We start from the raw sequence: 13,350 nt of genomic DNA on the forward strand, positions 1-13,350 counted from the left end.
CACTTGAAAATATTCTAGAGCCATAAAGATAGACCTGGTTGGACCCAGACCAAACCTCAAATTGATCCCAAGGAAGATTTCACAACTTCCTTTGAGAGATGCCTCTCAGTGTCGCCTGGCGCGATTCAGGAAGTCCTTCTTGAGAGCTAACCTAAATCCTTCCTGCTCGCCCTCCTCATGCTTGGGAGAGGAGGCAGCAAGGAGGGGGGGACAGGTGGGCCTCTCGCCTCAGAGCCCATATGAGGTCCCGAGAAGGTGAGGCTGGGCCCTGACTCAGCTTCAGCACACACTATTTCCATTCCCTTCCCGTGACTCAACAGGGGAGGGGCCCGGGGGCCACTCACCTCTGTCTTCTCAACCTGCAACTCCCCCCACCCCTTCCTGGATTCCTGTGACGCAGGAATCCCTCTGGTCTGTGTGGAGGAACCCAGAGCAACTTGAGCCAGAAGTGGATGTCCAAGCCGGCATGAGTCACCCCTCAAAATCAGGACCAGTGAGGGCCTGAAGAGGCCACACCGCCTCCGGCAGCCTGGCCGCCGCTCACTTCTCTGGGAAAGTGGCCTGGAGCTCGCATGGCATCTGGGCCCAGCCTCTGCCTCTGACCTGCACTGACCCCTGTGTCACCCGCCTCCAGGGTGACCCTCCTCCTGGCATTCAGACAGCTCCACTCACTGCTTCGCACAAACCTGTGCCACCCTGGTTCAAACATTAACCAGCTGTGTGACTTTTTAGAAGCCCTTCCCATGTTTAAAAACCAAGCTGGGAGGATGCTGCACCACTGCCATCATGGTTCTCACTGAACCGTCGCAGGAAAAAGCATTTCTTGCGCCATGGCTGTGTGCAGAACAGGCTTCCCACGGCTGAGTCCCCAAGCCCCCCACAGACGCTGCCAATGAAATGCCGTCAGCCTCAAGCATGGTTCTTGGTACCCAGCCCTGGTAAAACCACGTGTCTCAGGCCTTCTGAACCACAGTGCCCAGAACTCTGGCTGGGCTTTGTCCCAGAGGACAAGACTGGCCAACCCCCTGCTGAGCTGGAAGAATAGCTCCCTCAGCTGGCAGGGACCTGCCCCTGTTGCAATTTGGACTGAGTAAATGCTGACAGGAGGAGCCTGCGTGTCAGGCCAGGATAGACAGAGGCAAACTCTGTACTCTCAGAGAGCTTAGAAGCTAGAGTTGGAAAGCATGGGAAAGGGTCAGACACCCAAGAGAAACAAGTGCTGATGTCCACCAAAAGAAAACTTACTGCATTCTATAAACTAAAATCAAACAAATGTTCTCCTGCATTGCATAGCAGAGGAAAAGACCAAATGACTCTTCCATGCAACAAGTTAGATGAATCTCGCAGATAAAGTCAGACAAAAGAATCCAGACGCAAAAGAGCATGCACAGTATGGAGTTCAAAAACAGGCAAAAGTCATCTATGGAGACAGAAGTCCTGGTGGTGGTTTCTTGGTGGGGTGGGTGGGGGATGGGGTTATTGACAGGAAGGAGGCACCAGGGAGCTTTCTGGGGTCCTGGAAATGTTCCACGTCTTCATCTGGGGTGTGATGATGGGGTGGACACATTTGTTAAAACGCATTGATTTGCACACCAACATTTGTGTACTTTGCTGTAACTTTTTCCACACTTTAAGAAGAAGAGGAGGGAAGAAGAACTGTTGGGGAGACCAGCTGGGACCCCCTGCTGCTGACTCGCGGGCGTTGCCTTCGTGCCCCATGATTGTCGGGCCATTGAGGCCTCCTGGCAGCCTGGTAGACCTAGAACTATCTAAGCCAATAAGACACAGATTGTTGGCTCCACCACCAATTTCTGAGTCAGGAAGTCTAGGGGGGCCTTGGAATTCACATTTCCTGCAGCCTGCAGGCCATGCTGGGGCTCTGGCCCAGGAACTGTGCTTTAGAAGAGATGGTAGAACGTAGCATGTGCTGTGAGATCCCTCCAAGCTGGGAAGGACCCAGGTAAGTTCACAGAGGAGGTGCCCTTGAAAGATCAGTAAGATCTGAAAATGCCCAAATAAGCAGGAACTGCTGGTTCCAGGGAGGGAAGTCAGTGTGAGGCAAAGTAGAGAGGCTGGGAAGTGCGGCGAACGGCATTCCAGCCCTCAGGAGGGCAGGGCTGGCAGACAGATGTCTGAGTCCATTTCGTGCTGCTATAACAGAATACCTGAGACTGGGTCATTTATAATAATCAGACATTTATGTGGCTCGTAATTCTGGAGGCTGGGAAGCCCAAGGGCATGGTGCCGGCCTGAGCCCAGCATTTGGTGAGGGCCTTCTTGCTGCCTCATCCCATGGTGGAAATCAGGAGGGTAAGAGACCAAACTCACAGTCTCAAGGCCTTTTATAATCAGCATTAACCCATGCGTGACGGTGGGCACCTCATAACCTAAACACCTCCTATTAGGCCCCAGCTCCCAATACCATTGCACTGGGGATTAAGTGTTGAATACACGCCTTTTGGGGGACACATGCAACCCACAGAAAGAGGACATTGAGGCTTCTGCTTAGAAGGTTTTGTTCTGCATGATAAAGCTTGAAAATAGGAGGAAGCTCCAGAAAAATGGCCCTCCCCCACCCCTACCAGGGGATTATGTTCCAAAGTCAGAAAGTGAGGCACAAACCACATGTGGTCATTTACCTGTGACAACCTGTGATTGGCCTATGAAGGTAGATAGCCTAGCTCAGTGCTAAAGGGCCGGAGCAGATGCTGAGTTCACTGGCTGAGTGCCAGGTAAAGCCATCCGTGTGCACTGAGTGCTCATATTGGATGACAAACCTGGATAAAGAGCCCTCCAGCCCTTCCCTGTAACAAGCAGGAGCTGGGGCAGAAGGGCAGAGGTGCAGCAAAGCTGGGTCTAATGTGGGGAGCAATGTGGGGCAGGGCCAGGAAAGGGGCCTGCAGCTGTTGGTAGGCTAGCGGGTAAACAAACCCATTACAGTGGAGGTGTGCTGCTGACCGCCTTTCCTACAAGCTCATGGGCCGCCTTCACAGCACTTCCCCTGCTGCTTTTTCAGTGTAATCTTACAGCTATTCTGTCAAGACACCATGTTAAACACTAGTGGAAAAGTCACTGTGCAGAATTACCATATAATCTAGTAATTCCGCTTTTGGGTATATACCAAAAAATACCCAAAAAATAATTGAGATCAGGGTCTCCAACAGATGTTTGTTCACCCATGTTTCTAGCAGCATTCTTTTTTTTTTTGAGACGGAGTCTCACTCTGTTGCCTAGGCTGGAGCGCAGTGGCGTGATCTCGGCTCACTATAGCAGCATTCTTTACAACAACCAAAAGGTGGAAGCCACCCAAATGGCCATCAATATACAAAATGTGGTCTGTGCTTACAATGAAATATTCAGTCTTACAAAGGAAGGAAATTCTGGCACGTGCTACAATATGGAAGAAAGTGAGGACGTAATATTCTGTGAAAAAAGCCAGCCATGAAAAGACAAACTCTATATGATTCCACTTATATGAGCTAAGGGAAGGGGAATGGGGAGTTACTGTTCATTGGAGACAGAGTTTCAATTTGAGGAAGACAAAAAGTTCTTGGATGGATGGTGGTAATGGTTGCACAACAATGCGAATGTGCTTAATGCCACTGAACTGTGCACTTCACGATGGTCAAGATGGTAAGTTTTATGTGGACAAAAAGAACACACTATGTTTGGCCAGGAGCGGTGGCTCATGCCTGTAATCCCAGCACTTTGGGAGGCCGAGACGGGTGGATCACTTGAGGTCAGGAGTTCGAGAGCAGTCTGGCCAACGTGGTGAAACCCCTTCTCTACTAAAAATACAAAAATTAGCTGGACATGGTGGTGGGCGCCTGTAGTCCCAGCTACTCAGGAGGCTGAGGTGGGAGAATTGCTTCAACCCGGGAGGCGGAGGTGGCAGTAAGCCGAGATTGCGCCATTGCACTCCAGCCTGGGCGAAGAGTGAGACTCTGCCTCAGAAAAAAAAAAAAAAAAGAACATGCTATGCTATGTTTGTATTTAGGATCTAGTTTAGCTACGTCTAACAATAGTGGCTTTAACAAGACAGAGGTTCATTTCTCCAGGACACGGTCTAGGGGTGGCAGGGCAGGGCAGGGCTGCGGTGGCAACTTTGCTCCATGCAGTCATTCAGGGATCCACCCTCCTCTCTCCCATCCCTAGGGTGTTTCTCTCATCCATGTAGCTCAAGACAGTGCGCCATCATGTCCACATCCTAAACAGCAGGGTTAAGAAAAGATGGAAAAGGGCTTGCCCTCCTGCTTAATAATTTTTTTTTTTTAGACTGGGTCTCATAGCTCAGTGCAGCCTAGCCTGGGCTCTAGCAATCCTCCCACCTCAGCTTCCTGAGTAGCTGGAACTATAGCCACATGCCACCATGTCCCCATGTCCAGCTGAACTTTTTTTTTTTTTTTTGGTATTTTTTGTAGAGGTGGGGTCTCGTTATGTTGCCCAGGCAGGCCTTGGCCTCAAGTGATCCTCCCATCTCGGCCTCCCATAGCTCTGGGATTACAGGCATGAGCCACCGTGCACAGCCAGCTCCCACCTCCCTTGAAGCACTGTCATTTGGGGCCTCTGTTCTAGAAGGGGGTGCAGTTGCTGCTTGGTGTGCTGTCCATCCCCTCCACAGGATGGCAGCTGCATTTAATCTCCCGTGGCCACCATGGAGGTGCTCTTCTCAGGTCGGCCTTCAAGAGAGAAGCCTCTGCAAGAAGTGCAGTCAGCTGACAGCCTCCAGCTACTTGAGGGTCCTCCACCATATTCAAATCATCCTGCCCAATCTGGGACCCCACTACTGGCCATCTTTGCTCCAGAGACCTCCTGGGGCCTGCTGAGGCTCACCCACCCAGCTCTCCAGTGGCCCCTCTCCTTCACAAGCATTGTGCTTGGTGCTCTCCAGGCTCTCCCTGACTGCTCTGCCCCTCGCCCCTTTCTCCTTTACAGCTCCTTCTCCTAACACAGTTCTTGCATCTCTAACTCCAACCTGTTGTCTACTTCCCAGGGGAGCTGAACTGACACCTTTGCCCCAGGCCATATCCCCAGCACACAGACGAGGGCCTAGCACATAGTAGGCGCTCAGCAGAATTTCCAAGTGAGCACAAAAAACATGGTGGGCAGTCAATACATATGTGTTGAACTCAGCAAATTGCAAAGCAGCTGGGAAACAGCCATCGCCGGCTCCCCTGAGCATGGTGCTCCCGCAGCCCGTGTCAGCTGCGGTGCTTTGCCAATGCAAACAGGAGTGAAGAGTTAGACCCAGGCCCACTCCAGCTGCTGGGCCCCTTGCTCAACACAGCCCCTTCCTGCCACCTGCAGGGTGGGGTCTTCCTGAGCCCGCAGAGGGCACAGAAGGAAATACCTGCTCCCGGCCATGCAGGCCTCCCTGGCATGGGCACCCTGAGAGTCCTGGTCCCGGGAGTCAGGAATAACAAAGAGGCTGCCAGGGCCGGGCCCCTGGGATGCTGGCTAAGGGCAGAGCATGCCTCCTGGTTTGCTGGGCAGGAGGCTGATTGGACTAAATGGGCTTTGTTGATGATGACCCTTTGTTCCTCCATGGCGGCTCCGTCTGAGGAGAAGTTTTGGAGGCTGTTCATTCTCCTGCTTCCCCTGCTGCCGCCCCAGAGGCAAGGAGAGCAGCCTCCCAGTGGCCTGCTGGTTGTAAGAGTCAGGTGTGAGAGGTTGCATCACGTGCTTCTCTGGACTCGTGGTCTGCAAGGACGTGTGACAAGTGTGGCTGTAGGTTGATGAGCTGTGTGTGGCCTGGTAACGGGCAGTGGATGAGCCAGGGGGAGCAGCAGGTGGCCCAGCCCCAGCGATGAACATGGGGGAACTGGGTCCGTTGTAGGCAGGAAGGAGACATCAGCAGCAGCAGCCCCGGGGCATGGTGGGGGGTTGCAGGGGGGCCAGAGACAAGCCAGAGATGCCTGGATGATCCATTCCGCAGAAATAACAATCTCGAATCCAGGGCTGGGCCTGGCTGTGACTTGGTCTGGCCAGGGGTCGTGAGCAGCAGGTGTGCTGATTGTAGTTAAGAAGCCATCGGTGTCAGACCAGAGTCCTCGGGCTCTGCACCTGAGTCTGCTGCGAGAGGAAAGTGATAGGGGCTCGGGCATGTCAAGGAGGTAGGTGGGCACGTGAAGATGGGGCTCCAGGAAGGGGACATGAACACAGCAGTTCTTGGGGCTTTCTCCTTCAGGGGCAGGGGCAGGAGGACCGCCACCTGGCTTCACCATGAAGGGCCCAAGAGCATGGCATGGAGGGAGAGGCAGATCTAGAGAGAACACCGGCTGGTCTGCGGAGGGAGGCGGAGGAACGGGTTGAAGAGGGAAGAATTCCTGACACAAACTCTGAAATGACAAAGGAAAAGAATGACAAATCTGATTACACTAACATGAGCAACTTCCAAAGACCAATCACAAGAAACAAAACAATCACAAAGTCCCCACCAACATGGCTGAAAGTAAAACAATTAGCTGAGAAGAAATATTTGTCACCTACAGACCATGTCACAGAGGATTTTATTTTAAAGCACCCTACAAATCACTAAGAAAAAAGCCCCAAAGAAATAGCAATCTGGAAAAGGTTAAAAAGAAATAGCAATCTGGAAAAGGATACAAAGAGAGAATGTGCAGAAGAAGTGCCAGCAGCTGCAAAACCCACGTTCCACAAAATCCTGGATCAAACAGGCAGGAGACAGCATGACAAGGTGCCACTCTCTGCCCATCGGGTCGGCACGGATTTAAAAACAAGGACCCGGTATTGCCAAGGATGTGGGGAAAGAGCCCTGTGGGTGAGGGCGTCAGTTGGACAATGGCTGTCAACTTCTAGAATAATCATGTGTGCTTCCCTTTGATCCAAGAATCCTGCTGGGGGGAATTATTCCTGTAGAAATGTTTGCTCAGGTGTGCGAAGACACCTGCGTAAGACTTTTCATCTCAGCATTGTGTGTGATGCTGATGCCACAGCGTGGTGCCAAGACACCTCCTGGAGAGGACCCAGAAGGCCCGGCCACAGGTGGGGGTCATGGTGCCATGGTCCCTGCCCAGAGGATGCCTGGCTGGTGCGGGGGCAAGAGGGAGGTGGTCCTGGAGGCAGCGTTGCCTTTATCTACCCACAGGAGCGCACTGGACAGGGGTCCTGTGAGTGTGGGATCAGGGTCCCCCAGGCCCCATCTGCCCTCTGGTGCCCAGTGGCATCGAGCAGTTGTCTTAGCCACTCTGACCTCCACATCCTCCTCTGTGAAACGGGGTGCGACAGGACTACCTCTTGAGCTCCTGAGATCCTGGCATGCGTAGTGCTGTGTCAGGCGCAGTTCTAGGCCCTCTACCTTTACTGGGCCTAGGCAGCCTCCTACCAAAGGAGGATGAGAAGACACAGAGAGGCTGAGCAACTGCCTGAGGTCACACAGCTGCCCAGTGACCGCAGAGGACACAGCTGGTGTCCCATCCATCAGTCACCCACCCTCCCCATGCAGGACTCGCCTCTTCACGTCTAAGCCTGGGACGCCCGAGCAGGATCCTTGGGCTGCTTCTCCCAGCTGCAACGATGGGCAGGCTCCACCGCTGGAGGCCTGGAGAGTCCCTGCCCCAGGAGAGGGTCTCAGCCAACAGTGGCTATGGGGGTGGCGGACAACTACTCCAACCCCTTGCTCCTCAGCAGGGCAACCTCTGGGGCCTGCTCCACGCTGTCTCCCAGGGCTCCCCACAGCACAGAGCCTGGTGCTTCCCTGGTAACTGCCTTGATAACACATACTTTACTGGCTTCTTCCCTTCCCTCCCTCTCGTGCCCTCCCCTGGGGCTTCCTGCATCTCCCAAGCCAAGCACTTGCTCTGGAATCCTTGTCCCGGAGTCTGACTCTGAGCCCCTGCCTGAGACAGTGGCAAAGCTGGAGTTGGGCCAGAAAGTCGGGCTCCAGAACCTACTTTTTAAAAGTTTTTTTGTTTGTTTGTTTTTTAAATAAAGAGGCAACAGGGTCTTGGTTCGCTCTGTCATTCAGGCTGGGGTGCAAGGGGCAGGCAGCCTGGAACTCCTGGGCTCAAGCCATCCTCCTGCCTCAGCCTCTCCAAGCGCTGGGATTGCAGGTGTGACCTACTGCAGAATCTGTTCAGTGGGGCGGCTGGACTGGTTTTGACCCACTGTACTGGTTTGCAAAACTTCCCACCCGGCAGTCTCTGGACATTTTCCTAGATTGTGACAAGGGGCCGCTGCCAGGGGAGAGTGAGGGACCCTTTACCCTCTGTGCCCCTCTGTTCCTGGATCAGAGCCCTGACATTTATTGCACCCACCCACCCCAGGGACAAAGTCCTCTGCACAGGGCAGGCAGCCAGCCCCTCGACCAAGGCCTCAGGAAGGTAAAGAAGCCGGGTGCTCACCCGGGTGAGCACCCATGCTCACCACCTGACTTTGGTCCAGAGCAAGTGGTCCAGGGCTCCATCCCGCCTAAACTGGCTCCTCCCAGCCCCATCCAGAACCCGGGGTGCAGAGGAGCCCAGTGGCGCCACCTGCTGGGGACCATCAAGAGGTGCTGGCACCTGGTTCTCTGCTGGATGCCAGGCAGCCACTCTGGAGCATCGAGGGCTGTCACCCAGGAGGGCTGTCACCCAGGAGGGCTGTTACTCAGAAGGGCTCTCAGCTAGGGGGCTGTTACTCAGGAAGGCTGTCATCCTGCAGGGCTTTCACCCAGGGCTGTCAGCCAGGGGGGCTGTTACCCAGGGCTGTCACACAGGAGGCATGTCACCCAAGAGGGCTGTCTCCCAGGAGGGTTGTCACCCAGCAAGGGCAGTCACCCAGGAGGACTGTTAACCAGGAGGGTTGTCACCCAAGGCTATCACCTGTGGCTGTCATCCAGGACGGCTGTCAGCCAGGAGGAGCGGCTGCCCACCCACAGGTGCTGAGGGGCCTTTAGATAAGGCCTGCTTCAAGCTGCTGGGGTGTCCTGTGGCAGCCATCACACAGTGTCACAAATGGAGTTTAACACAACAGAAGTTTATCCTGTCAGGCCAGAGTCCAGGATCGAGGGGTTGGCAGGTTCCGCCCCTCCTGGCCCCTTCCCTGGCTTCTGCTGGTGGCCGGAAGCCCTCGGTGTTCCTGGGCTCTGGATGCAACCTCTGCCTCCGTCTTCACGTGGCCTTCCTTCCTGTGTCTCTGTCCAATATCCCCTGCCTTATAAAGATAACAGTCGCCGGGTTAGGGCCCTCCCTGATCCAGCAAGACCTCATCTTCCCTTGATCACATCTGCGAAGACTCTATTTCCAAATCAGGTCACTTTCACAGGTGCTGGGTGGACATGACTCTTAGGGAGGTCACTACTGAACTCAGCACAGAGGCTCAGCTCAAACAGGGCCCCCTCCACGCAGCCCTGCCCCACCCCTTGCAGCGTCCCCTGTCCTCTGAGCCCAGCAGGGCGCTGTGGGCGGCTGGATGGGCCTGCACCACACCGCACCGGGCTTGCTGGTTGTGAAGCATTTTCTCTCTACATTTACCTCACAGCACGCAGCTGAGCGGCAACTCCTCGGGGAGGCTGAGCTGGGTTAGGGGCCCCTTTTCAGTGCCCCACCGCCCTGTACTGTCCCAATCTTAGTGCCGTTCATGCATTTAGTAGGGGTGTGACAGCCCCCAACCTGGTGTGGACACTACAGGGGAACTTTGTTCTGTTTTCAAGGCACTGTCATTGATGTGTGGGCCTGGAATACTCAGAGTGGAGTCGGGTTTTACAGGTTGAAGCCTGGAAAGAACTGTTGGGTTTCTGTGTGTAGCATCTGCTCCATGACATGATATACAAGAAGGAAGAATGGAAGAGGCTGTGATCCCAGCTGCTTAGAGAAAGGGTTGCGGTTGCAACGGTCAGAATGGCAGCCCAGTGAATCCCGTTGTCCATGGTGTTGAATTCTTGGAGACAGGTGCCTCCCTGCCAGCCAGCAATGTGAGAAACGATGTTCAAGACTGTTTTGACTCAAGTGTTTTGATTCAAGACAGGGATGGGTGGGACAGGGGGTGGATTTCTGCCCAAAGCACTTCTATGTGGGACCAGCAGGGCAAATGGCTGTGGACCAGCACGCAGCCAGCCAAAGGGAAATTGGTGTGTGGAGATGTGCTCCTGAGAGTCAAGTGCTTCAAATGTGAATCAAATGTGGGAAGTGCCAAGAAATGTTATATCAGGACATCATTCCAAATTTGGAAATAGAGGAAAGGTGGGCAGTGGGGAGATGACCTATTGTTGAGCCACACTACCCCAGCCAGGAGAGAAGGTCATGGGGAACCCCTCTTCTTTTTGTCACAAGAAAAAAGTGTATGTTCATAGTAGGAGACAATTATGGTGATATTGAACAATCATCATTAAAATGATATCACGTATATTTATTGATGACACTTCATAGTCTTCATGTAAGCCATTCTAAATGGCTGCAAAATGTTCATTTTATGGGGCTGACCATGACATTCTTAAGTTTCCCCTATTGCTGAGTATTCAGAGACTTTCCAGCTTTGGGTTTAAAAGTGATACTCGCCAGGTGTGGTGGCTCATGCCTGTAATCCCAGCAGTTTGGGAGGCCGAGGCAGGTGGATCACTTGAGGTCAGGAGTTCCAGACCAGCCTGGCCAACATGGTGAAACCCTGTCTCTACTAAAAATACAAAAATTAGCTGGGCGTGGTGGCGGGCACCTGTACTCCCAGCTACTCGGGAGGCTGAGGCAGGGGAATCACTTGAACTCGGGAGGTGTACGTCGCAGTGAGCCGCGGTCACACTCCAGCCTTTGCAACAAGAGTGAAACTGTCTCACAAAAAATAGATAAATAAAAATAAAAGTGATACTCAAGTGCATGTGTTAAATTTTGCCCACTTTTTGGATTATTTCTTCTGGAAGGATTCCTAGAAGTGGAATTCCTGAGAAAAAGGAAGGCAGGGCCTTTGAGTTCCTTGATCAGTGATTTCACACTGTTGGGCCAGGGCCAATTTGGCTTTTAGCTGAATTTGATTTGGCCCATGCAAGCCCATGCCACTTTTTAATGCACATGAACTTTGTTTTTTTTTTAAGAGATGGATTCTCACTCTGTTGCTCAGGCTGGAGTGCAGTGGCAGGATAACAGCTCAATGCAGCCTGGTCCTCCTATGCTGAAGTGATCCTTTCCCCTCAGTCTTCAGAATAGCTGGGATTACAGGCATGCATCACCATGTCCCGCTGATTTTTTTTTGGTAGAGACAGGGTCATGTTATGTTGCCCTCACTGATCTCAAACTCCTGACCTCAAATGATCTCCAGCTTCATTCTCCCAAAGTGTTGGGATTATAGGCATGAGCAACAATGGTTGGCCTGTACCTAAATTTTTTCCCCACAAATCAGAATTTCCACAAAATCGTGTGTTCTGTACCTACATTTTTAAAAGTAAGACTTCTGGCCAGGCATGGTGGCTCACACCTGTAATCCCAGCACTCTGGGAGGCTGAGGTGGGTGGGTCACTTGAGTTCAGGAGTTTGAGACTAGCCTGGGCAACATGGCAAAACCCTCTATTCTCTAAAAAAAAAATACAAAAATGAGCGGGTGTGGTGGCATGTGCCTGTAGTCCCAGCTATCTGGGAGGCTGAGGCATAAGAATCGCCTGAACCCGGGAGGCAGAGGTTTCAGTGAGCTGAGATCATGCTACTGCACTCCAGCCTGGGCGACACAGAGAGATCCCATCTCAAAAACAAAAAAAGGAAAGTTTCCCACCAGAATGAAGATTTACAGCTTATCCTGGAAAATCAGAGCTGCCTAATCAATCAGTGTAATCCACTGCATTACAAGAATGAAGGAGAAACATGATCTTTTTTTTTTTTTTTTTGGATACAGGGTCTCTTTCTGTCACCCAGGCTGGAGTGCAGTGGCGTGATCTCAGCTTGCTGCCACCTCCACCTCCTGAGCTCAAGATCCTCCCAGCTCAGCCTCCTGAGTAGCTGGGACTACAGGCACACGCCACCATGCCTGGCTAATTTTTGTATTTTTTTGTAGAGACAGGGCCTCACCATGTAGCCCAGGCTGGTCTCTAACTCCTGGGCTCGAGCTACCTGCCTACCTTGGCCTCCCAAAGTGCTAGGATTACAGGTGTGAGCCACCACACCCAATTGATAAAGCACATTTATTAGTTTATAGTTTATACTTTAAAACAAAGATGATAACAGCCCTTTCCCAAAACAAACCTCCTCGCCTGGGGACTAAACTGCCTTTGTAAGACTAACAAATTAGCCACAAGATTAGAAATTATGGTTTAGGAGTCATGCAGCTGGAGGCTACAAGATTCTGACCCTCCCCAAATTGCTCCTGGTAATTACATCCCTATTAAAAAGCTTAAGATCAGTGCTTGAGAGATTTTGCCAACTCAGCACTTGATGGATCAACTGGCACCACCCAGACTGATAAACTGGCTCATCTGATTTTGTGGCTTCTATCCAGGAACTGATTCAGCTCAAGAAGACAGCTTCGACTCCCTGTGATTTCATCTCCAACCCAAGCAATCAGCACTCCCAACTCACTGGCCTCCCCCACCACCTACCAAATTATCCTTCCAAACTCTGATCCCTGAATGCTGATGGATCATGCAAATGGAGACTGATTGGAGTAATAACTCTGGTCTCTCCTACAGCTGGCTCTGCATGAATTACTCTTTCTCTATTGCAATTCCCCTGTCTTGATAAATTGGCTCTGTCTAGGCTGCAGGCAAGATGAACCTGTTTGGCAGTTACGTCTTTCCTGGGGTGTCCACCACAGAGTGTGGAAGGCAGGTGTGTGGGCCTTTCTGGCAGCTGCCTGTGGTTTGGCCAAGCCCTGCCTCCCCCATGTCCCCCTGGGCTCCATCCTGTCTCCACTTGCATTTAGGGGTGGCTGCTGCTCTGGGAACATTAGAATCCAGAAGAGAGATGGAGCCACATCAGTTTTTTTCAGGCATCTTTCTAAATGTTTGTATCCAAGTTAATCGCCCTTATTCACTGTGGCATTGCCTTTCTAAGCAATTACCTCTGTGCCTGCTGCTAAAGAACTTCTCACCCAAGGGGGGCAGCCTGGGCACTACCCTGGGCATTAAGTCTTGTGTTTGATGTGCTCTTGTAATTTTACTTTGTTAGAACCAAATATTTACATGATGGGTTTGGGAATCTCTCCTTTTAGCTCCCGATCCAATATGAAATTCAGGAAACCAGTTTGTGATAAACTGCATCTGGCCATTAAGGGGGCCCCTGGGTGACCCCAACAGATTCACACCAGTGTATGAAAATTTGCCTGCATTTCGGAGAAGATAAATGGGCTTTCCCTCTTCAGATGCCTGAAGGGAGCACTTTGAGCTGAGTGGTACGTGACCTTCCTCTAGCCCCGGGGCCCTCGGTGGACCTGGGC

The 13,350-nt window shown here is 52.3% G+C and overlaps 1 long non-coding RNA gene across 1 annotated transcript, besides 5 other annotated features; it reads left to right on the plus strand.

Annotated features, from left to right (window-relative positions):
• Window positions 1-1,816: 1,816 nt before the first annotated feature.
• Window positions 1,817-7,964, plus strand: LOC124903939 (uncharacterized). The gene is made up of 2 exons (XR_007065645.1): window positions 1,817-1,960; window positions 6,188-7,964. It is a non-coding gene; the product is annotated as an uncharacterized LOC124903939 (long non-coding RNA).
• Window positions 5,469-6,462: an enhancer, noted in NCBI's record as "H3K27ac-H3K4me1 hESC enhancer chr17:16773690-16774683 (GRCh37/hg19 assembly coordinates)". NCBI's record gives its function as "activates a minimal SCP1, AML or CMV promoter by ChIP-STARR-seq in naive H9 embryonic stem cells {active_cell/tissue: H9 hESC(naive)}" and the evidence as "EXISTENCE:reporter gene assay evidence [ECO:0000049][PMID:30033119]".
• Window positions 6,575-7,425: an enhancer, noted in NCBI's record as "H3K4me1 hESC enhancer chr17:16774796-16775646 (GRCh37/hg19 assembly coordinates)". NCBI's record gives its function as "activates a minimal SCP1, AML or CMV promoter by ChIP-STARR-seq in primed H9 embryonic stem cells {active_cell/tissue: H9 hESC(primed)}" and the evidence as "EXISTENCE:reporter gene assay evidence [ECO:0000049][PMID:30033119]".
• Window positions 7,426-8,276: an enhancer, noted in NCBI's record as "H3K4me1 hESC enhancer chr17:16775647-16776497 (GRCh37/hg19 assembly coordinates)". NCBI's record gives its function as "activates a minimal SCP1, AML or CMV promoter by ChIP-STARR-seq in naive H9 embryonic stem cells {active_cell/tissue: H9 hESC(naive)}" and the evidence as "EXISTENCE:reporter gene assay evidence [ECO:0000049][PMID:30033119]".
• Window positions 8,277-9,127: an enhancer, noted in NCBI's record as "H3K4me1 hESC enhancer chr17:16776498-16777348 (GRCh37/hg19 assembly coordinates)". NCBI's record gives its function as "activates a minimal SCP1, AML or CMV promoter by ChIP-STARR-seq in naive H9 embryonic stem cells {active_cell/tissue: H9 hESC(naive)}" and the evidence as "EXISTENCE:reporter gene assay evidence [ECO:0000049][PMID:30033119]".
• Window positions 8,533-8,592: a silencer, noted in NCBI's record as "silent region_8229". NCBI's record gives its function as "represses an Ori minimal core promoter by ATAC-STARR-seq in GM12878 lymphoblastoid cells {active_cell/tissue: GM12878}" and the evidence as "EXISTENCE:reporter gene assay evidence [ECO:0000049][PMID:35858748]".

Source organism: Homo sapiens, chromosome 17 (genome assembly GCF_000001405.40).
Source record: "Homo sapiens chromosome 17, GRCh38.p14 Primary Assembly".
Lineage (NCBI taxonomy): Eukaryota > Metazoa > Chordata > Mammalia > Primates > Hominidae > Homo > Homo sapiens.